The 22,573-nt window shown below is 45.4% G+C and overlaps 1 protein-coding gene across 13 annotated transcripts in view; it reads left to right on the top strand.

Moving 5' to 3' along the window:
• Positions 1 to 22,573, top strand: part of TG (thyroglobulin) — a 267,942-nt gene that overhangs the window by 76,606 nt on the left and 168,763 nt on the right. For 12 of the 13 annotated variants that reach the window (NM_003235.5, XM_017013794.2, XM_006716622.4 and 9 more), the window contains 3 exons: positions 5,213 to 5,380; positions 17,445 to 17,510; positions 19,431 to 19,511. In NM_003235.5, the coding sequence (NP_003226.4) occupies positions 5,213 to 5,380; positions 17,445 to 17,510; positions 19,431 to 19,511 (315 nt within the window). The remainder of the gene's footprint in view (positions 1 to 5,212; positions 5,381 to 17,444; positions 17,511 to 19,430; positions 19,512 to 22,573) is intronic. The other variant, XM_017013793.2, reaches the window with a different exon arrangement.

Here is a 22,573-nt window from a genome sequence, read left to right on the forward strand (position 1 = left end):
CAGGGCTCCCCAGCAGAAGGCAGATACATTGTTCTTAGCCCTTCTCCCTTCTTAAAATCCAACATGTGCATGGCACCACAGAGTCCATGACCTCCGACCTTCCCTCGAGTGCCTTTCCGGTTGCTCTCCTTCTCTACCACAGCCAGACCCTGCAAGCTGAGACCCTGTCTCACCCCCAAACTGCTTCTACCAGCTCTCCAGTCACCAGGGGCATCTTCTGATCCTCTGAAGGCCTGTTGTCTCTGGCAGCTGTCACTATTTCCTGCTGTCCAGTTATTTCCACCTTCTCCTCTCCTGACCTCCAAGATGCCCTTCTCTTGCTCCTTAAACTGTGCCTTCTCTTCTCCTTCAGCTTTCTGGGTTGAATCCTTAGATATTGATAGGTCCCACCTCCACCTCTTGTGGGTCTGTGTTCTGGGTGTGACCTCTCTGCAGAGGTCGACATCCATACACGCATCTGCTGTCCAGATATATCCTCTTGGACATCCGTTAGGAATCTCAAAGTCAAATGAATGGATAGTTTTTACCCTAAACCAGCCGATCTCAGTGAAGGGCACCTGAGCCACAGACCTGGGATCATGCTGAATGCCCCACAGCCCTCTTCCCTTCTGTGAAGCTGTCACTCCAATTTCCTGTTGCTCTCTTATTATTTTGTTTGAGATCGAGGTGTATTCCATCCCTGTCACCTCAGTCTGCATTTAAGCCTGTATTATTATTTTCTTGGCACCTGTACCAGTCTCTTAATTGGCCTCTCACCACCAACCCCCACTACTTGACTAGATTCCCCATCCTCCAAGTCATCCTATTCAACTTTAGGCTCTCCTTGTGATTTCCTCCTCCTGGAGTACTATTTTGTCCCTTCTTTTTGTATCCAAGTCCACATATCCATCTCCCTGGTGGATTCGAACTCCCCAGGCTATGAAAGAGTTATTTATCCTCAGCCTTTAGGACAGCCATGCTCACTGTAGGTGCAGAGGAATGCTGCTGAATTGGGCAGACCCCAAAGTGGGGAAGTGACCTGCCAGATGCCCGTGTTCCAGTGGTCAGCAAAGGGAACTTGGCTTTCCTGACTTATGACATAGACACTTGTGCTCTACTCCCCCTCCCACCCCCACTGTTTCCACCTCCTCCTCTCAGGTCCAGAGGGAGAAAAGGATAATTGTTAATTGCTAGACTCTGAAGACAAGTGAATATTGCATTGAAAACATGTAATAAGTCTTTTGCCCCATTCAGAGAGATAAATTAAGACTTTCCGAAATCTTGAATCATGTGTAGTTTAAATGAGATAAAGAGAAGAGGGAAGGTGATGTTAAATGGAAAGAATAGCATATGCAAAGTCCCTGTGGGAAGAGGGTGCAGGATAAAGAAGAGAAGCCTAGAGGAAGCCGTGGTCCCTGGAGCAGAGAGTACAAGGCCAGAGGTTTAAGGGGCGGGAGGGAGAGGCCAGGCCACAGTGAGGAGAACCTTGTAGGCGGCATGAATAGTTGTTTTTATTCTAATAACGACTGGAAGCCACTGAATGTTTTAAGCAAGGAAGTGTCATGATCAGATTTGAACTTTGACGTGAGCGCTTGTCATGTCATGGCTTGAATGTGGAGAAGGTTGTGGCTAGGGGTCAGAGTAGATGCAGAGATGAGTTAGAAACTGTCGCAGTAGTCCAGGGTAGAAGGTATGGTATCCTGGGCTAGGGCTATTGCAGTGGAGAGGGGGAATAGAAGACAGATTTAAAGCATCCCCAGGAGGCAAATTCAATAAGACTTTGAATTTGGGGGTTGAGGAAGAGGTGTCAATGATTATTCTTGGGTATCTAGCTTGTTCACCTGTTGTGTGGCAAAGAATGAAAGAGATTGGATGTCCAATTTGGCGATGGGAGAGGGAGATTTAGGAAGGCCGTGGGTCCATGTGGGGTATACTAAGTTTGAAGTGACTTTTGAGACATCCAAAAAATGTCAGCTGAGTTTTTAGATGCAAAGATCGAGAGCTCAGAAGGGAAGTGTGGATGGGAGATATAAATGTGTAAATTACAGCTTCGAGGTGGTATCAAATGTGTGGATATGAATGCAGTTTTCTAGGAGGAGGGTGCAGAATGAGGAGATAAAGGGGGATGGAGCTGATCTTGATGAACAGCTACATAACAGGTAGAGAATATGCAAAGAGATAGAGAAGGAGCAGCCAGAGGGGGAGAAGGAGATGGGGATAGTGGATCCTCGCGAAAGCTAGGGTGGGAGAGCGTTGCATGGTGAGGAAGTTGTCAACAGTCTTGAGTGCTGCTGAGAGTTCAAACAAGGTGATTCCTGAAAAATGCTGAGTTTAGCTCACAGTGGTTGAGGTGGCTAAAATGAGAATGTTTTGTTGGAGTGGTGGGGCAGGAACACAGATTGGAATGAGCTGATTCCTAAAATTCCTTCTACATTTAATGTTCTATGATTATGTGATGTGGATTCCTGTTAGTGTTTAGATAGGAAAAATATGTTACACACACACACACACACACACACACACACACACACCCTATATTTGTCTTGATGTATATCTATATTTAGAAACAACATAACTCAAATCCAGGATTCCTCTTTGAACTAAATGTATTTTCTGAAGATACCACAATTTCCCCAGATGCACAATGACTCACCAGACCATATGATTTTTTTCAAGCTGGAAAGGTTGATTTCGTTTTCCTTAGGATCATATATGGAAGAATGTTTTTGTTCCATGGAGTGGTAAGCCCACAAAATCCTTTTTTTCCATGATATTTCTGGCTGGCAGCTTGCTTGCTTTTCCCTCCAAGTTTAACCTGTGATCTGTGAATTATGTTGAACTAAACACTCACCTCGCAGTGCTGAAAGTCAAGCCTTCTTTGAGATACACATAAAGTATCGGGCAGATGTTTTCCCCAGTCTTGTCCAGTGGGCAAATCTGGAGTTTTAACTTATGAAGATTTGGCTGGATCTGCTGACGACCAGGAACAGAATTCCACTACATCCTTTACCACAGTCTGGAAAGTCATTTAGCTCTGGTGGATTCCCCTCCTTCCCCTCCTTTCCTTTCTCCCCTCCCAACAAGTCTCTAGCCTCCTCCAATCTCCACCCCTCTAAGGCTTTGTTTCCACTGAGAGTTATTAATGAAAATTCATGGGGCTTCTGAACTACATTTTAGTGGAGACTGCTTGGAAGTGGGGCTCTGAGGGCCTTGAATGGCCTCAGGGTCACAGGAGTGCAACTGAAGCTAAGCTGGCAATGTATGACCAGCAAAGTGACTTCCAGCCTCTCCCTGGCCCCTACCTCTCAGGCACAGCCTTCTCAGGGACATTTGGCACTAGTTAAAGAGGAAAGCTGCATGGGTTTCTCTACTGAGGTCTGAGAGCAAAAGGAAAAACGCACTCTGCCTCTTGTTAATTCCATCATTCTGTTTCCTGGCTTTCAAGTGAGCCAGACCACAGTGATCAGCCTTCCTCGAACTCTCCTGGGCTCTGAGTGTGCCCCTTGCTGGTGCTGCCCTCACGTTCCACAGCCGGCCCTCAAGCCTGCACCTTGCTGAGGCTCTTGCTGCCTGCTGGCCATTCCACAATTTCTTAGCTCCTAGACAAACCATTCTTCCTTTCTGTGCCTCGGTTTCCCCATCTGTAAAACGAGGTGGTCTAACTAGGTCAGTGATTCTCCATGGTGCTCTTTACAAACATGTATGTCCAAATGCACCCCGCCCCATACACGTGACCTACCAAGTCAGAAACTCTGTGGTTGATACCTAGAAATGAGCATTTTCAAAACCCTCCCTGCATTTCTGATGTCATCAGTCTAAGCATCCTTGTTCAGAAACCACCATATGAGATGACCTGGAAGGCCACTTAAAAAAATTCAGAGATTCACTGCTGCTGGTTTTTTAACTACTGCAGTTTAACAGTGGCCAGCAGAAGAGAAAAGGACACAATGTGAAATTTTTAAGCCAGACATCCATGAGTCACCTACTCTGGGGAAATTTTGGAGATAGAATTGTTTTGAACTAGATCCAGATTGGACATAAATTAGGAAATTAGAATGAGGAATGGAGTAGGAGTTGTGGGATAATATATTGCCCTTTTTTTTTTTTCCAGGAGAGTCTGAACAACTCTACTCCCTAAAAGGTTTATTTATCCAAATGGCATAGATATAAATTTATAAATCTGAATATCCTCAAGCAGCTTAATTAACTTACATGAGACTCAGTTTCCTCATCAGTAAAATGGAGATAATAATGTCTATAAGAATTAAGGGAATTAATATACTTAAAGACTTACCACAGTGGCTGGCACATAGCAGATATAAAAAAACGTGTGAGTTACTTGAATGTATCCAGCTAAAATCACTATCAAATTCGATTACCTTGGGAGTAGGTCTTTCTGATGCTAAACAAAGTCATAATTTTTGGGTAGCTTTTTAAAATTCAGAGTCAGGAGACATATTCAAGATAAAAGAGTCCAATGTCATCTCCCCTAGTTACAGATTTCTCTCCACACATCCTAGGCATATGGACACACAGTCTCTGCTTGGATATGTCCAAAGACGAGGAGCTCACTTCCTAACAGGGAAATATGTGTCATTGGTGCATAGGTCTTAGTTTTTAATAGTTTCTTACTCCGTCCCCCCCCAAAAAAAGTTTCTTACTTTGAATCTAAGTACTCCTTTATGAGACCCTTCAAGGTTGATCTTGTGTGTGTGTGTGCATGTGAGAGAGCGAGAGCAAGAGCGAGAGTGAGCGAGAGCGAGAGTGAGAGCGAGAGCGAGAGAGAGAGAAAGAGAGAGAGTGAATATGATGGGAAATGAGGCAGAAGGGGAGGAGAAAAAGGAAGAGGAAATTGAAGCAGCAGCAGCTCAGGAAAATCACCCCGTTCAGCAGGTGTAGACCATGGTGACTGAGGATTCTGGCAGTGATGCCCCCAGGAAGTTGGAGGTGCTGTCAGTGCTATGGATGCCATGAAGGAAAGCTCTCATAGGGAGGGAAAGGATCAGTAGGCTTGAAGGTGGCCCTCCCCTTGGAAATTTGCCAATAAGACAACTGCAGGAATCACAGGCAGGATTGTCTCAATTTAAAACCAGGCTCTTGAATTCTAGTGTCTATGTCTTCTCCTGAGACGCTGTCACCTATCTTTATTTGCAAATGCTCTCAGGGGACAGAGAAGAGTCTCTAAAGGTCCCCCTCCATCACACTGACCTCTCCTACCTCTTGTGATTCTCAGGTGCCATCATCTGTGGGTTGCTGAGCTCACCCAGTGTCCTGCTTTGTAATGTCAAAGACTGGATGGATCCCTCTGAAGCCTGGGCTAATGCTACATGTCCTGGTGTGACATATGACCAGGAGAGCCACCAGGTGATATTGCGTCTTGGAGACCAGGAGTTCATCAAGAGTAAGTCTTTGCCATTTGTCCATATTCTTTCAAAATTACTCTTCACACGAGCAAGGCCCTCTGCTACTTTCTTATGAGCCCTCCTTGTGGCCTGAGGAGCTTATACTTCTGAAAAAAAAAAAAAAACTTTACCAATCATACTGGATGGAAACAACCCTAGCTTTTCAGCAGAACTCTATGGGAAGCATCCATTTAGCTCCTCAGATTGCAGGTGGACTGTGGGCAGGATGGCCCAGCAGGGCAAGTCTGCTGCTCTCAAGAATCTTGGGGTTAGCTGGCAATTGATGGATCTCATCTAGTCTTGGTTGGCACATCTGGGCCCTGCTCTATGAGTTTCTCATCCTCCTCTGGAGGAACGTACTCTTCTGTAGATGGCAGAAGCAGGAAAAAGGAGAAATAAGCAAGGCCTCTGTTGGTGGAGCTCAGATCTGTCACGTTACCATTTCTGCCTCATCCTATTGGATAAAGCAAATCCCATGGCTAAACAAGAGACAAAGGGTGGGAAATAGACTCTACTCCTTTAGTTGGGGGGACTGCCAAGTCATGTGCAAATAGTATGACTACAAAGAAGGATGGAAAACTGGAGCCTGAAATGCAATCTGTCCCCCAAACTAATGCCCATCCAGGCATATTTTCCCCCTCTATGAGTTAAGAAATTCCAAGTTTACCAATTGTACTGCCCACTCTAGTGATGGGTGCAGGGGACCATGGGCTCCATTGCATGGACTCAACTAACAGAAATAACCACTGGGCTTTCTCTTTCCTCTTCTTTCTCTTGGAAGCTCTTTTCTACAAACATATAAACACTATAGTGAGGCTGCATCTCTGCGATCATCTGCCCCAGCCTCTCAGTTTCCAGAGATGGGCAGTTAGTGCCTGAGGCCCCCCAGCCAGTGGCATCACCTTCACAGCCCTGCACTGCCTCTCCCAGCAGACCCCCATCAGGAAAAAGTGAATGCCCACTCTGTGCTGGGCTAGGGACTGGCCAACCATGTACCACTGATGTGATCAGGAAAGACAGGACCAGCACCACCAGCACCACCATCACTGGAAGCTGGTTAGAAATGCAGAGTCTCAGGCCACACCCCAGCCCTCAGGGTGGGTCCCAGGAATCTGTGTTCTAACAAGTGGTCCAGATAATGCTTATGTAGCACTGATGGCTTGAAAGTTTCCTTCCATCACTGAGAGTCTGACTTATGATGAAGATGGGGCCAGCTGTTCCTTTTGTTCTTCCAGCTCCAGAGTGAGGTTGAGGGGAAGCCCTGCTCCTCGTTGTCTATTTATCTGCCAGAACCTGAACTGGGAAAGCACCTCCATGCTTCCACTCCACCTTCTGAGTTGAGAGCAGTGAAGGCATGTGCAGGTGCTGACCAGATAGACTGAGCACCTGATGTGAGAGGGTCAGTGGGATTCTTTCTGTGGGAACCCTTGGGTGCTTATGTTGCTGCAGGAAGTGGTCTCCCAAAGGCTGGCAGAGACTCTCTCCTGCCTCCCAGGGAAGCTTCTGAGACTCACACCTTTATATCCTGCATTTCTCAGGGTTCCAATGGCAGAGCATTCCATGTCACCTCCTCCAAGAGCCCTCCCTGACTACCCACAGGGCTTAGTGCTTCCTCGACTACAGAGCTTCATGGATGCTCTGCCCATTCCTTTGTTAGGCAGTGCAGTCAGCAGCGTGCCGCAATTGCGCATTTGCCTGTCTGTGGAAAGTTTGTCTGTGATGTTAAATCCTAGCTTTGGACACCACTTGTGTGACCTGGAGTAGGTGAATGAATGTTTTCAGGCCTAATTGCCTGTCTATATAATGACAGTAATACCAGTACCCATCTCACGGGGTTGGGAGGATAAAAGGAGAGGATATAACAATAAAAAAATAAGGATAATAGAAATGACTTATGTAGCACACCCTCTGAGGCAGCCCTGCTCTGAGGCCTTGACCTATACTCACAAGTCCTCAACACAGTGCTTCAAGGGAGGCACTCTTATTATCATTGTCCCGGTTTGCCAGCTGAAGACACTCAGGCACATAGCAGTTAGGGGACTTCCCTAGGTCTTAGAGCTTGTAAATAAGAGGGCTGGGATCTGAAACCCAGCATTCTGGCTCTCTCACTGCCTTTCTTAACCACTTCTCTGTATGGGCCCTTGCAGATCAAGAACTAGCAGAGTTCCTGATCTGTGGTATTGATATTAGATGATGTTATCATTATTTTTTCAATTTGTCATTGTTTTCTGTCATATTTTAAAAACTGAATTGTGTTTCATTAATTTCTGGATTACCACCATTGAGCTATGCTTTATAATGATGGCATAGAAAAAGATATATATATCTGTGAGTGAATGGTCACCAAATTCTGAAAATAAAATATCACAGAATTTGGTGGAATTCCATGAAGCACAAATAGTTTCTTTTGGCGTCAATAAAATCAAATCGCTTATTTATATGATGAGTAGTAAACATATGGTATTCATTACTCCAAGAGGTAGCACAGGGTGAATACAGGCATTTCAAGAAAGACATATGATATATTCATGGCAGTAAATCCAGAGTGAATTGCTCAACCCAGAGCATGTGCTTGATATGTGCCCAAGAAATGAGGACTGTGCCCTTGTCTGGCCTCCCAGAGTAGCGGTTACCAAAAGACTTTTGAAATGTTTGTTTTTTTCAGTGCCCTATATGTGTGTGTGTATTGTGGGTGAGGGCAAGGCTTTAAGAAGTGTGCACTATGATAGGGATTTCAGGCAGCCTTGATACTCCAAATTGGAGGTTGCCCTATACAAAGGCTGAGTAGGAGGCTACCTCCAACTGAAGGCAACAGGGCACAGATATTTCCTCTTCAAAATAAGAGGTCAGTCTTTTAGTACGATTAACCCCTGGAGGTGAGAGGGAGGGAGTGTAATAATTTAAATTCTAACTACAGCGTGAAGAACTGATAGATACCCTTTTCTAACAACAGATATTGATGGAGGAAAAGAGGAGGATTCTGGGTACAGGAACAGTTGCAGGGGAGGGCATGGAATGATTTGAAAGAACATAGGGGGTGCTAGGGACAATAAAGACAAACTCCATCTCCACTAAACTTGACTGGGGACTGGCCTCTTCATCCCAGTTTAACAACGGGATAGATGGTTGTGAAGACAGACTCTGGAATCAGGCCCTGGAATTTGAATTCCAGTGTGAATGTCTCCTCAATGTGTGGCCCTTCTAGGCTTTGGTATTCCCAATTACACAGTGAGGATGATGGTGGACTCTGACTCTCCAGGTAGTTGAGAGGATTAAAGAAGAATGTGTGTGGAGCAGCAGAGTGGTGCTGAGCACAGCAGGCTAGCGGTGGACACTGGAGATACGGCACAAGGGCTGGGAGTGAAAATGCCTGGGATTGAGCCTGGCTTTTCCCCTAGCTCTGTGACCTTATTCAAGACATTTGACCACCTTCAGCCTCAGGGCCTCCATCTGTGCAATGGGCGCATTCGTTCACAGATTACTGAGTGAAGTGCTGGCAGGCTTCCCAGGCTGTCGAAGAATGCCTTGTTCTCTGGTCCCTGGCTCCCTAACAGCACACCCAACAGAGGCACCTATGGGACTTCGGGTGCAGACACCTGCTTTCGTTGATCAATTCACGGGTACTATCAGGCTATGGTTCAACACATGATCTGGGTAATGGGGAATTGGCATTTGTTTTTAAAGCACAAATGAATTGATTGCCAGGTGTAGGAAATCACAACCCAAAAGAACACAAATTCAAGTAGTAAATATATTAATATCTGCACTGTATTATGCAAAGCACTTTCACGTACAACTCAATCGATCCTTTGGGCACTCTGGTGAGGCAGTTGGTTATATCACAATTTCACTCATGAGAGTGAAGTTTGGAGCTGTGACTTGACACACTTTAAGAAACAATCTTTGCATTAGTGCCATGGCTGGGGCTCAAGCCTTCAGCTTAGGAGACCAGTGCTATCTTGTGGAAGCTCTCTACCCACTCCTGGCTGCCGCCTTCTGCTTCCACCATCCTATGTGCAATTTACTGGAAGTGGAAAGTGCTTTGGAGTTCTCCTTGTTATTGTGCCAGAAAAATTAAGGGGTCTCCGGTAACTGAGAGTGTCACTCCTCAGACATCACTTTGGGGCCAGCTATGCTCCAGATATTGGGTATTAATGCCTGCTAATGGGATATTCTACTTCAAGGGTTTTACAGGGCTGTTGGGAGAAGGGAACAGAAGATTCAGGAAAGCTGTAGGGTCAACTGTGAGTTGCAGAGGGGAGCTGGGAGATGTGCAAACACCTTTGGAGGAGGTGAGTTTGTGGGGAGCCCTTCCCCAGGCTGGAGCAGCCCCTGTGTTTCCTCCTCCCTCCCTCATATCCTGAGCAGCTGCTGGGTAGATGTGAGGGTGAGGTGACCTGGCCAAGTCCAGATGCAAAGATGGGGACAGTGGCTTCTGTTCTTAAGGAGCTCACAGGCTAGATGGGGTGAGAGATACAGAGATTATTAAATACAGCAGGCCTCCTGTTTGCCCACCTTAGTGGACTGACAGGGATTGTAGGAACACAGAATGTCTCCTTAGCATATCCTTTTCTGTTTGGTAAAAGCTTCATTCAGGTCACTTGCCACACAGAAGTTAGGACTGACTTCTAATACCAGCCCCCAACAAACAAACAATTATACCCCAAACAACTAATCCCACGAAACACCTGGAGGCTATTTTTATCTAATTTGGAGACACAGCACCTTTTGCTGTGAGGTTTCTCTTTCCTGCCATCAGCAATGAGTGATGGCTGAGAATATGAGATTTTGCTTCACTTGGTAACTGGGTTGACATGTGTTCTCCAGAGAGAAATCCACTCAGGATCTGGATCTCCCAAATTTCCAATGAGCATTTCTGAGTGCATTCAACTATTTGCTGCTGGCTGGGTCAACCCTCTTATTTGTCAGAAAAACATCTTAGAAAGCTCTGGGGCTGCATATGGCTAGTTTTTGACAAATCTTGAAGTGCAAATGAATGGAAAAAAGGCAGATTAAATGTCCCCTAATGCCACACAGATGTAAAATTTGATAGAAAAAAAAAAAAGCCTTGGCAGAAATACTACTGGGTTCATCCTGAATCCAAAAGGCTTGATGTTGAGTGATTGTGAGGCTTTGCCTGATGCCTGGTGTTCACTTTATAGGGGTCTGTTTTATGTCAGTGATTGTCATTATCTTGGGGTGCCAGGACCTCAGTGGAGAAAGTTACAGTACACCTGTGGTACTCATTGCAATCAGACGCATCTAGATGAGATGGCTGATGAATGCCTAGGAATAGGATGAGTCGTTTAAAAAGGGCCCTACAGTTATTAGTTACTGCTGTCACAGGTTGTGCATTGCCATGTGCTTAGTGCTATGTTTGTGTCTTAGTTTATAGTTTGGATTCCCCCAGAATCAACCATGAGACAAAGATTCAGGAGTGTCATTTAAATAGGAAGGACAAGGAATATGAACAGAGTCTCAGGGCAAGTAACACAGAGAAGACACAACAGCCAATAAAGGGTGGACTCTGAGGCCAGTTGTACTTAATTCCCTGGATCAGTGCAAAACACACTTCAGAATGACCCCGCCAGCTAGGCCAAGGAACAGGGTGTGTACCCAGTGGTGCTGCAGAGGACTTGGCTGACAATTGCAGGGAGGACAGCAGCTCCCAACCCTTCCATCCTGCCACTGTGCCAAGGGCAGCTGTGGCTTTCGGCAGCTCCCTCAGAGCCCTGGGCATAGAACAGCAGTTCATGTTGCATACGTCATTTCCACTCATCATCTAAGACCTGGAGAGAAATGGCATTTTCTCCATTTACTGAGGGGGAGAGTAAGGCATAGGGACTCAAGGGAACTTCCTCAAGGTTATTCAGCTCACCAGTAGCACAGCTTGGGTTTCCTTTATTCCACGATCATATGATCATTATTCAGATCTGCTTCACTCTGGGAAGTGGGATGTAGAGATCCTGATATCTGCCTCCTGTTAAGGAAGCTCACTGTCTAGCAGAGGGGCAAGGGAAACACATGGCCTCCTGAGGCAAGTGCCACTGTATTGGTACAGCTGAGCAGGCCTTGGTTCCCCTGAGGCTAGGCACCATCTGCTGGGAAGGACCCTGGGAGACTCCATCCTTATATCAATGCCTCCAGGACCTACAGCAGCCATTCTGAACCTACCTAACCAACACTGGAGGCCCAGGATTGTCAGCTGATTCTTCATAATGGTCATCTTTGGTGGCTGGAGGTCTTTCCCCCCACAAGTCACTAGTGGATTGTAATGAAAGCAAGTCTCCAAATTCTGCCACACATCCAAGCAGTTATTAGCAAACAGGCCCAGAAACTGTCGCAACCTGTCACCTGTTCAGTGGCCCCAGTGAAGGCCCATCTTGCTATCCTTGGCACCTTGTTGGAAAGGTTTATTTAAGACAGAACCAATACTATTCTCACAGCTGAACTCAACTCACCTTCTTGTCAAAATCAGATGAACAAGAATCCTTCAGATCCGTGACTGATCACAGACCCGTTTTGAATCAAGCCACGGCTCTAGGGCTATTGGGCTCAGGAATCTGTCACAATCTCTTCCTGCCAGCATAGGAGTGACACTGTGATACATTTAGCCAAGCCATATGTTTTGAATGCTATGAATCTGACCAATAAATATGTACCTATTTCCAGCGTTCAGTAGGCTAATTAACAAAGGCCGGTGGTGGTGGTGTTAACTGGGATAAAGAGTTGATGTATCTGTGACTGCTTCCTGGAGGGCGGGGCTCCTGGACAGCAGCTTTTCCATGCCATGTGACCACTCCTAGAGTGTGCTTTTCCGTTTAGGATCCTGTCCAGTTTAATCTGAGGGTGTGGATTAAAATTGACTGCCGCAGATGCAGCGCATGATCTCCTCAGAAGTTTTCTGAATAAAGACCACGTCACACCCAGCAATGCTGGAGAATGGGCTCTGTGCCCAGACCCTCAAGTTCTCAGTGTGTTTGTGCTCCTTCAGCCTTGATCACAGGGGCAGCGACCCTGATTCAGGGGCTGGAGGCCTGTATGTGTAGAAGGGATATTCTAACTCAGTTATTGGGGAAGAAATGAAAGTATTTTCTAGGCAGTCAAAACTGTGATCATTTATCAGGGAAGAGGTGGAATGATGCTTGCTTGCATTCTGTGTACCTTCTTATTCTATTCTATTAGGGAAATTTTGGGGAATGGAGTAAAGGGTCAGAAGTCTGTTTAGAAAAACTAATTTGGGGCTAACCTTCTGATGCGTGGGAAGGCAATGTTCTGTGTTTATTTGGTGGGCTCTGTGTATCATTCATTGTTTTGTTCTCCCTCCTTCATTTATCCTTGCATTTATTTATATACTGAACACCAGCTCTGTGCCAAGAATTGTGCTGGGGGAGTGGGTGATATAAAGAGGGGACTTACAGTGTATCCAGGAATCTGGACAGTAACTACCAGGCATGAGGGGAGAGAAAGAGAAGATCTCTGAATACTGCAAACTCAGAGGACGGGGGTGTGTGACCAGCTGGAGAGCTCAGGGAAGCCTTTCAGGAGGCAGTGATGCAGAACCTGATTCTGAAAGAATGAGTAGAGGTCAATCAAGTGAAAGAGAACAGGGTTCTAGGCAGAGAGAAAAAGGCATGCAACGACGCAGAGGCCTGACAGCAAGCATTCAGTGTGACTCGGGAGGTGGGCACTTTGGAGACAGATTAGGGCATGAGGCTGCTCAGCTGTCATGAGCCAGATTGCAAGGAACTGAATTCTGACATCCTTGTAGCTCCTGCAGGACCAAAGGTAGGTTTGTCTTTCAGGATGAGTACCTGGGGGCTATGTGGCTGAGGGATGGGAAGGGGCCAAGGTCAAAGCCTGGGTGGGGATTAGCTAAACCTAATGGAGTTAGGAGTTGTGGTAAGGCTTGAGCTGAGAGGAAGGGTTTGGAGGAGAGGAAGGATTAAAGAACAGTTTAGGGACTAGTCTGAATGCATGTGGAGACTGATGGAGAAGGAGTCAAGGACGACCCAAGAGGAAGATGGTCCTATTAACTGATTTAGAAAGCAGGAGGAAGTGAGTTTGGGTGTAGGGATGGGAATGAGAGATGAGGAAGATAAGAGAAAGAAGGGAAACATTCTTTCTTTTACCCAGTATTCTCTATGTATTCCTATGGAGACTTGGCAATCATATTAACAATGAAGACCACCAAGGGGTTATAACTTTCCTTGTGGTGATTGACAAAGGTGCTTCCCAGGACACAATAATCTCTGTAGGTGCTGGTCAGGTGACTTTCTGGACCTACAAAGGTGCTCTACATACATGTGCTGAATTTAGTTGAATTCCATTGGATTAAATTGTGTTGAAACAGGCAAAAACCAAGGATGAACTTAAGACAGCATATTTCCCAGGCTGGCAGACCCAGGGCTCTGTTGCCTTGAGATGGACAGAGTGTATAAGGTGTCAGCTTCCTATCACAGTTCAGTACATTCTGGGCCAAAAATACAGTCCCAAACTGATGTGCACCTGCGGGAAGCACCCATTTGTCTTTGAGTGGTGAAAAGCATCTATAATTTTTGACATTATGTAAAACAGGACACACACACCGACAGAAATAAGAGTCTCAGAGAGAGTGAAATACTCACCACCAATTCACCGCAAGTCAGACACTGAGACTGCTGAGAGGTAAAGACCTTCCTCTTGACATTTCCTAAGGATTACGGCTCTTAGGAAGGGGCAGGCGTGGGGATGTGACTGAATTTGTATTTGTATTGAGGGACTGTAACCCAAATTCCCCAGTGATTTCATGGTAAACTACACACACACACACACACACACACACACACACACACACACACGTATGTATATATTATTTTTCCATACGTTACTGGGGTAAGGTGGTGTTTGGTTACATGAGTAAGTTCTTTAGTGGTGATTTGTGAGATTTTGGTGCACCCATCATCTGAACAGTGTCCACTGCACCCTATTTGTAGTCATTTATCCCTTGTTCCCGTCTCACCCTTCCCTCCAAGTCCCCAAAGTCCATTGTATTATTCTTATGCCCTTGCATCCTCATAGCTTAGCTCCCACATATCAGTGAGAACATCTGATGTTTGGTTTTTCATCCCTGAGTTACTTCACTTAGAATAATAGTCTCCAGTCTCATCCAGGTCGCTGCAAATATATTTCATGGTAAACTGCTTCTTAATGGGGTCATTGGCTTCAGCCTTAGACTTGAGAGCAATACAATACTCTAGAGATAAATGTTGTTTCTTTAAGTTTTACAGGTTAAATAAGAATTATAATGCATGACCAAAAGTATGTTAAAAACCTTATTCACTTTACATCTGTATTACCTATATGAGTATATAGGTTATATCTATAGCTCTCTCTATATGTATCTACATATGGCATATCTATCTATCTATCTGTCTATCTATCTATCTATCTATCTATCTATCTATCTTTAAAGAATCAGTATATCAATAGATTTGGGTATACAAAGATTTAAGGCTGGGCACGGTGGCTCACACCTGTAATCCCAGCACTTTGGGAGGCCAAGGTAGGTGGATCACGAGGTCAGGAGTTCAAGACCATCCTGGCCAACATGGTGAAACCCTGTCTCTACTAAAAATACAAAAATTAGCCAGGTGTGGTGGTGGGCGCCTGTAATCCCAGCTACTTGGGAGGCTGAGGCAGGAGAATTGCTTGAACCTGGGAGGCAGAAGTTGCAGTGAGCCGAGATCGTGCTGCTGCACCAGGCAACAGAGCAAGACTTTGTCTCAAAAAAAAAAAGTTTCAAAAAAATTATCTGATTTCCCTTGTGACAAAGTCTAAAACCCCATAGCCTGAGCTTTGAAATAAGCAAATGATGATATCATGAGGAGAGAGTGAAAACGGAACACAAACTGAGCAGGTGCGCAACCACTGGTTCTGTGTTGTTGCAGTAGGAGTATATGGTGAGGTCTCCTCTGCAGTGTGGAGGACAAGGAGGACAAATCCAGTAATTGCAGAGATCCAAGTCTACATCTCTCAGATGCCATAGGTGTTCACTTGCGCAAATTGTTATAAATAACTTTTACCTTCTAAAGAAGGCTATGACAGAATTTTGAGTAGATCCTTTAGAGAAACATCTCAATATTGCACAGTCTGAGAAGTTCTAGCACCATTGTTTATTCCCATTTCAGAAGTAAAATCAAATGAAAGTGCAACTCAGTCTTTTTGTCTCACCTTTGTGTCCTAGAACATGGTAGCCCCGGGGAGACTTGTCACTTTGAGAGCCGTTTTCCAGAGAGTTCAGTTCACACCTCTTTAAACACAAACACCTTTAACATTTTTGCCATGTCAGATGGACAGAATTCTGAAGTACAGCCATGCACCTCAAAAAGACACTTTGACCAATGAAAGACCATGTATGTAATGGTGGTCCCATAAGATTAAATGGAGAATAAGATTATAAGATTAATGCATAAGATTATAATGGATAATAATAGAAACCTGATACATAGCACTTGATACTGACATTTCAGATCAAGTAGGGGAAATGATTAAGATTCATTAATGATGCTGGGACTTTTTTTGTATGAAAAATATATGTAAATAAAAGTATATAGAGCGTCTAGGCTTATGTAAGTACGCCCTATGATCACACAACAACAAAATTGCATTTCTCAGAACATATTCTGGTTGGTAAGAGATGCATGGCTGTATATTATCCTCTCCTTAGTGTGGTGATTAGGAAGGAGTATGGGATTTGAAGCCAAATAGATGGGGTTTGAATTCTTGCATTAACCTTTCTTGACTTTGATTCCTTTATCTGGAAATCAGGGACCTTACTTTATATCATGCCTGTGAGTTTTAAATTGGGTAATATAAGGAAGGTTTTTGTGCAAGCTTGTCCAGTCCACCTTTTGTTGTTGTTGTTCTGTTTTGTTTTGTTTTAGGTTTTTAGTATTCTGAAACCATGGTTTTTAGTTTCTGTCTTTAGTGATAAGCAGAAAAGAGTGATGAGGAAGGGGATTTACTGGCCCAACCAGAAACAGAAACTAGGAACCCATGACTGTATTCTCTCCCTTAGACACTGCTGCTAGTGTTGGATAAATGGTAATAACTGTTTATCAATAACTAGCTCTTCATTAGGACAAATACCTAATGCATGCAGGGCTTAAAACCTGGATGACAGGTTGGTAGGCGCAGCACACCACCATGGCACACGTATACCTATGTAACAAACCAGCACAAAGTTTTGCATGTGTATCCTGGAACTTAAAGTAAAATAAAATAAAAATTTAAATAAAGGTATAAAAAGACTAGCTCCTAATAATAATTAAAAACAAAATTTGATCATATCTCGATGTCCCAGGCTGTCAGCCAGCCCTCTCCTGTAGCATGGGGCTTATTTGCCTCCAGACTCTGCTATCTGGGCTATTTCCCTCACCTTCCATGTCACAGGGAATTTGAAAGGAACTGAAGACTGAGCAGGGGCAAAAGAGGCAGCACTGACCATCAGGAAATGGTGTGGCAAGCCTAGTGTCATCCAGAGTGGGATCCAGGGGAGAACAGTTTGCCAGAAAGGAAAATCGGATAATATTATTAATCGGTTGAGTTGTGGCAGCCGCCAACAAGTGGCTGCCTATCAAATGTTGAAGACTGCAGAGGATAGTTTATACACAGTATTCCCATTCTCAAAATCGCTGTCCACATTTACCAATGAGGCAAGAGTCTCTGAGGAGTTAAGTGATGTGGGAAACTCACACAGCCCTCGAGTGTCCCAGGAGGTTTACTTTCTTCAAGCCAATCTCCAGTTCTTTAAGTGACTCTCCCGAGTCATAGGTTCACAACCCCTCATGGAAGTAGTCCCTTTGGTGCCCTGAGTATGACACCCATGTCTGACCAGCTCTGGTTTTGTACTAGGGAGCTGGAATAGAGCTGCAAGAAGCTTCTGGGTTACATCTTACGTGGGAAACAGAGTTTTCAGGCCTAGGAAGAGCCTGTGTCAAGGGAGATGGGGCTATTGCAGTAATGGTGGGTACCCAGTGACAGCACACTCAAGCTCATAAAAATAAACATCTTCCTTTGCAGGTCTGACACCCTTAGAAGGAACTCAAGACACCTTTACCAATTTTCAGCAGGTTTATCTCTGGAAAGGTGAGCTCCGTGGTGGAAGAGGGGGTTAGCAGGACGCTGATTACATGAGATTGTCTGGCACCACCTCTCATTCACAGGGCACTCTATTTCTGTAGAGGAATAGGTAGAGAGTCACTTTCCAAATGCATACTTTCTGTGGAATAGAAGGGCTCCAACTCATCAGATAAGATGCCAAAGTCTAAAACAAAAATGAATACTGTGGAAACCCAAGAAGGGATGGATAGAGGAAGCACTAGGTTCCCGCGAGATAAAGCTTGCTGACCACAAGACACCCTTGTTCCTAGGAGGGGAGTTCAGGGCCATTGCAAAGCACAGGAGGCATTTGTCCAAGTGGACTCAGCCCCATGTGCCTTTCACCCTGAGGCCCAGGGACTGGGGACAGGACCCCAGGCAGGTAGTGCCCTGATCTCCTGCTCAGAGATAATGCTACTCTGGGTGTGTGGGACAGAGTGTGGGAAAAATGGAGAGTCTGACAACATGTATGCTTGGCACTTCCCTTCTGTTTCTTTGTCCTCCTTCACGTTTTCTGAATGTTGACCAAGTGCCTACTCAGACCCAGGGAAAATGAAAGGCATTTAGGGGAGAGACGAGAGGCACAGCCCTGACTATTGAAGGGTTCCGGCCTCAGGAGGGAGCAGATAGAGCAGTGGCCCATCACAGGTCATGGCCATATGTGCTGGGTGAGAGGCATGAGAAAAAGCCTCTGACCCCATATTACTTCCTTCCTGTTCCCCTAATCTGTCCTCGCTGATCTTCAGTGTCCCAAGAGAGGATTGGCGACTTGCTTCTACATGCTGATAAACTGAAAGAGCAGGAAGGCACAGACTTGGAATGATGGGATGTGAATCCTGTTCCTATCAATCCCCATTCATGTGCCTGGGAGCCCATGGACCAGCCCCTCATGCCTAGATTCCCCATGGGTAACGTGCGATACAGACGCCACTGGCCTCAGAATTGCCTGAGCAATAATACATCAATGCACAAAACAATGCTGTGGATATCATACATGCTGAGTAATGTTGGTGGGGGTGGTGGTGATGAAGTGAAGAAGGAAGGCAGAAGAGGAGGAGGAGGAAGAGGAGAAAAGGAGGGGGAGGAGAAAATGAAAAGGAAGGTGTTTACCATCATTTTCATTTTAAAGAGATAAAATGAGATTATGTACTTCTTTTCTCATTTAATTATACCCATAATGTAGGCCTAAAGAGGGGGTGATATTTTATTCATTTTCCAGGCAAGGAAAATGAGACTTGGAGAGGATACGTGAAATGCCCATGGTATGCCTGGGAGGTCCTGGGGTTGAAACCAGACACTGGTAGGAGATCCCAAGTCCAGTACTTCCTAGTTATCAGAAATTTCTGATAAAGTGTTAGCTGATGAAAAATGAGGGACTTACATTTCTCCAGGACATTTGCCGCACTACAGAGAAGTGCCTTAAGGCCTGCCTGATACCTGCACTGCCACAGGCTCACTCGCTTTCATGGAAGACCTGTTCCTGACTTGAACATTTAGTTAAATTGTTAAAATTTCTAATTCATTTACTGGCCACTTGAGTGGTCTGGGATAAATTATTTTGCCTCTTTAAGTCTCAGTTTTCTCAAGAGTAAAATGGAAATCTTGTTCCCTACCTACACAGGGAGTTATAAACAGCAATATTTATGAGCATATTTTGTTAACTCGAAAGGGCTTTGCGTATGTTAATAATTTCAATATCACAGATAATGATGTTCTATCACTGAGAGGTTGGATGATGTTCCATATAAAAAAGAGTGCAGATCCATGTCAGGGCATCTGTTGCAGATCTTCTCTAAGTCACCTGGCTTTAGGGCCTGATTTTTCTCACATTGCTACTACCATTTTGTTGACCAGTGGAGTACTACCCATTCTCCCCAACATTGCAACAACTCTTTTTTTTCCTCCTAGATTCTGACATGGGGTCTCGGCCTGAGTCTATGGGATGTAGAAAAGACACAGTGCCAAGGCCAGCATCTCCAACAGAAGCAGGTACTGACCCCCAAACCTTCTTACACACTTGGGTGTCTGAATGCAGAGACTAAATGGGTGCACCAAGAGTTTAATCAATGAACGGACGTATTGACATCACTCTATTCTGTATCCATGGACTCTCCTTTAATCTTTTAACCCAATTATCCAGCTCATAAATATGGGAAGCTCCTCAGATGGGCAATTGTCACAGAAAGTAAGGCAAAATCACTGCAAATTCATAAGTGTTACTGGAAATGAAGACAACCATAATAATAAAACCTGAAAAAAGAAACAAAGAGCAAGGTTCACCTGACTGTGGCCAATGGGCTTCACTTATGTCAGCCCTGAAAAGTATAAACAAAGTGTAAATATTCTGAAATTGTTTCATGAATGACATGTCTGTGAGAATCTTTTGCATGTCATGGCATACAGTGAAAGCTGTGATTCCAAACATGAATAGGAACAGTACGTATGTACTGTCTGGACTTCTCTACCTCCAGAGTCTGTGATTATTATTACTGAGGTGGAGCTGAAACTCAGAGAGAGAGGGAGATCAGCTGCTCAATATGGGCTCAGCAAGGACCAGGAGACAAGACATCTGCATGTGGTCTGCAGTGTGTGTGTGTGTGTGTGTGTGTGTGTGTGTATTTGCATGCATGGACGCACTGTAGGAATAGGAGTAGGAGCAGAAGGAAAGAAGGAAGGAGAAGGGAATAAGAAGAGGGAGAGCCAGATCAGACTGCTGGCACAGGAAGGCAGCATGGTACAGGGGAAAAAAACGTCATGCTACAGAGCAGATACTAGAGCTCGAACCATGTTTCTGCCACTGACTACATGCCTTAGTGCACGGCCATGGGTAATTTGCTTCCCTGCTAAGATCCCTGGATTCATGTGTAAAAGAATCTTGTCTACCTCTTATCCCGTTAGATAGCAACCACTTGGCACAGTGCCTGGTACTTAACACATGCCTAAAAAATGCCCAGCACCCTGCCCTCCCCTGCTTGATCAGGCGTTGTGTTTGTGATCCTCAACCTCGGCAGTGCCTTTGAGGGGCAGCCACACAGCTTGTGATAATGTAAATGTGTGTGAGTTAGTGGCACTTGAGAAGGTTCTGTCAAATCCATCATCACACACTACTTTAGGGCTACTTTAGGGCAGCATCTGCAAAACTCTCACATGATTCACACAAGATGCTCCCCCTGCCCCCTGCTTTCTTCCCTCTCCCCTAGAAGGGGAGCTTGGCCCCCACTGGAGACCTTGCGGGGAGTCAGGGTGAATAGACAAGGCTCAGCTCAGTTTTCCCTTTCTCAGTTGATTGCATTCCTGGGCTCAAGTAGATAAAGTGCCTGGAGAAAAAAATCACATTGAGTCCAGGCCGAGTGGCATCTCCACGTGGGCTCGTTTACTCAGACGGTGCTTCTCAGGGTCCATGAGAATGGCCTCTCTGATTCAGAGGACAGTGAGGAATCTTCCCCTTTGTGTATCAGGTTACTCCCATCAGTCTGAATGTTTGAGACAAACCCAGGAAGCCAACGAGAGTGATTGGTCTCATTGCTTTTAAGGAGGGCACATAGTTTTAAGAGAAATAGGAAATGGCTTAATCTAATACGGCACGTAAACCAGGTATAAGATGAAGTGGCTACAGTATTCATTCTTTCATCCAACCAGACATTTTTGAGCACATGTGGCTGTGGCCTTGGACATTCACAGGCTAGTGAGAATTCCATGTGCCAGCCACTGCATGACAGTGTGGCAAGGGATGCAATGTGGACAGGTGTCGGTTGCAGTGAGAATGCAGGAGAAGGAATGCTAGCAGCCTGCAGGGGCCAGGAAAGGTTTCTCGGAGGAGGCCAGAAGGATCTGCCAGATGCTCCCAGGTATACCTGAGAAAAGGTGTTCCAGGTAAGGGGAACACCTGTGCCAAGGCTCTGAGAGCAGGTGTGCCTTCAGTCCTGCTGCCTTGTTTCTCTTCTCTTTCTGCTTTCTTGAGGGGCAATCTGTGATTTCCCTGAGCTCCTACTTTGTGCCAGGCATGGTTCAATGGGGAGACCCACATGGGGACTGGCCATTATACAATCATGTGAGATGAAGGCTGGGGAGGCAATATGATCTCTGAGGTCTCTGTCCTCTTGTGCCAGGCATGGTTCAGTGAGGAAACAGGCTTGGGAACTGGCCATCATACAATCACATGAGATGCAGGCTGGGATGGTGACATGGTCTCTGGTGTCTCTGCCAGCACTAAACTTCTGACCTTTCCAAGTACTCATAAAGCCTTTACCTTGTCCAGTGGTTCTTTCTAGTGAAGAAGCTCAGTCTCCTTGAGCCTGCTTTATGAAGTGTGGAAAATGGCTGCTGACAAGCACTACAAGGAAAGTGCAGGGCCCAAGTCCACAGCAAAGTGGAGGTATATATGGGATGTAGTGCCCCTTATACAGAGCCCTGAATGAATGGACATTGCAAACATTCCCCAGCTCATCTCCCTGATCTGCATCTTGCCATCGTTGTACATCCCCCTGGAAGACAGAGCCCTCCAAGGTTACAGAGCTATCCCCACTGGGCCTGGGTGTTGGGGTCCTTGGCCCTATAGAACCTCTTTATAGAGTCACAGGACATCAGAGCCAGAGGGATCAAAGCTGATCCTCAAAGCACAAGCTGCACTAGCTGGGTGGTGGAGGAAGGTGTAATGGAGCTTGAGCCAACAGAGGGAAGAGCATGAGCAATTGCATGGGGACTGCAAACAGTGTGGTGATGAGCTAGAGTTAGCAGGGCTGTTGTGTTGCTGAAGTGCAAATCAAGACAATCCGAGTTGAGGCTGAAAATGCAAGTAGAGCCCAGATTAAGAAAAGAATCTGGACTTATTTTCTGTAGGCAGTGGAGACTCCAGGAAGAGCTGGGATCATGGCATGTAAATACCTGAAGACAGAGTCAGGGAATGGTTGAGCTAAAACTTTCAAGTTTGGGTTAAGTGGAGCTGAAAGCTGACTTTGTAGATGAAGACTACCATTTTGGAGAGAGGCTGGACTTCCATGTGGCTTCAGAAGACAAAAAGAGGATCAGTGGTTCAAAGTTACAAAAAGAGG

The sequence above is a fragment of the Homo sapiens genome, chromosome 8 (assembly GCF_000001405.40).
Source record: "Homo sapiens chromosome 8, GRCh38.p14 Primary Assembly".
Lineage (NCBI taxonomy): Eukaryota > Metazoa > Chordata > Mammalia > Primates > Hominidae > Homo > Homo sapiens.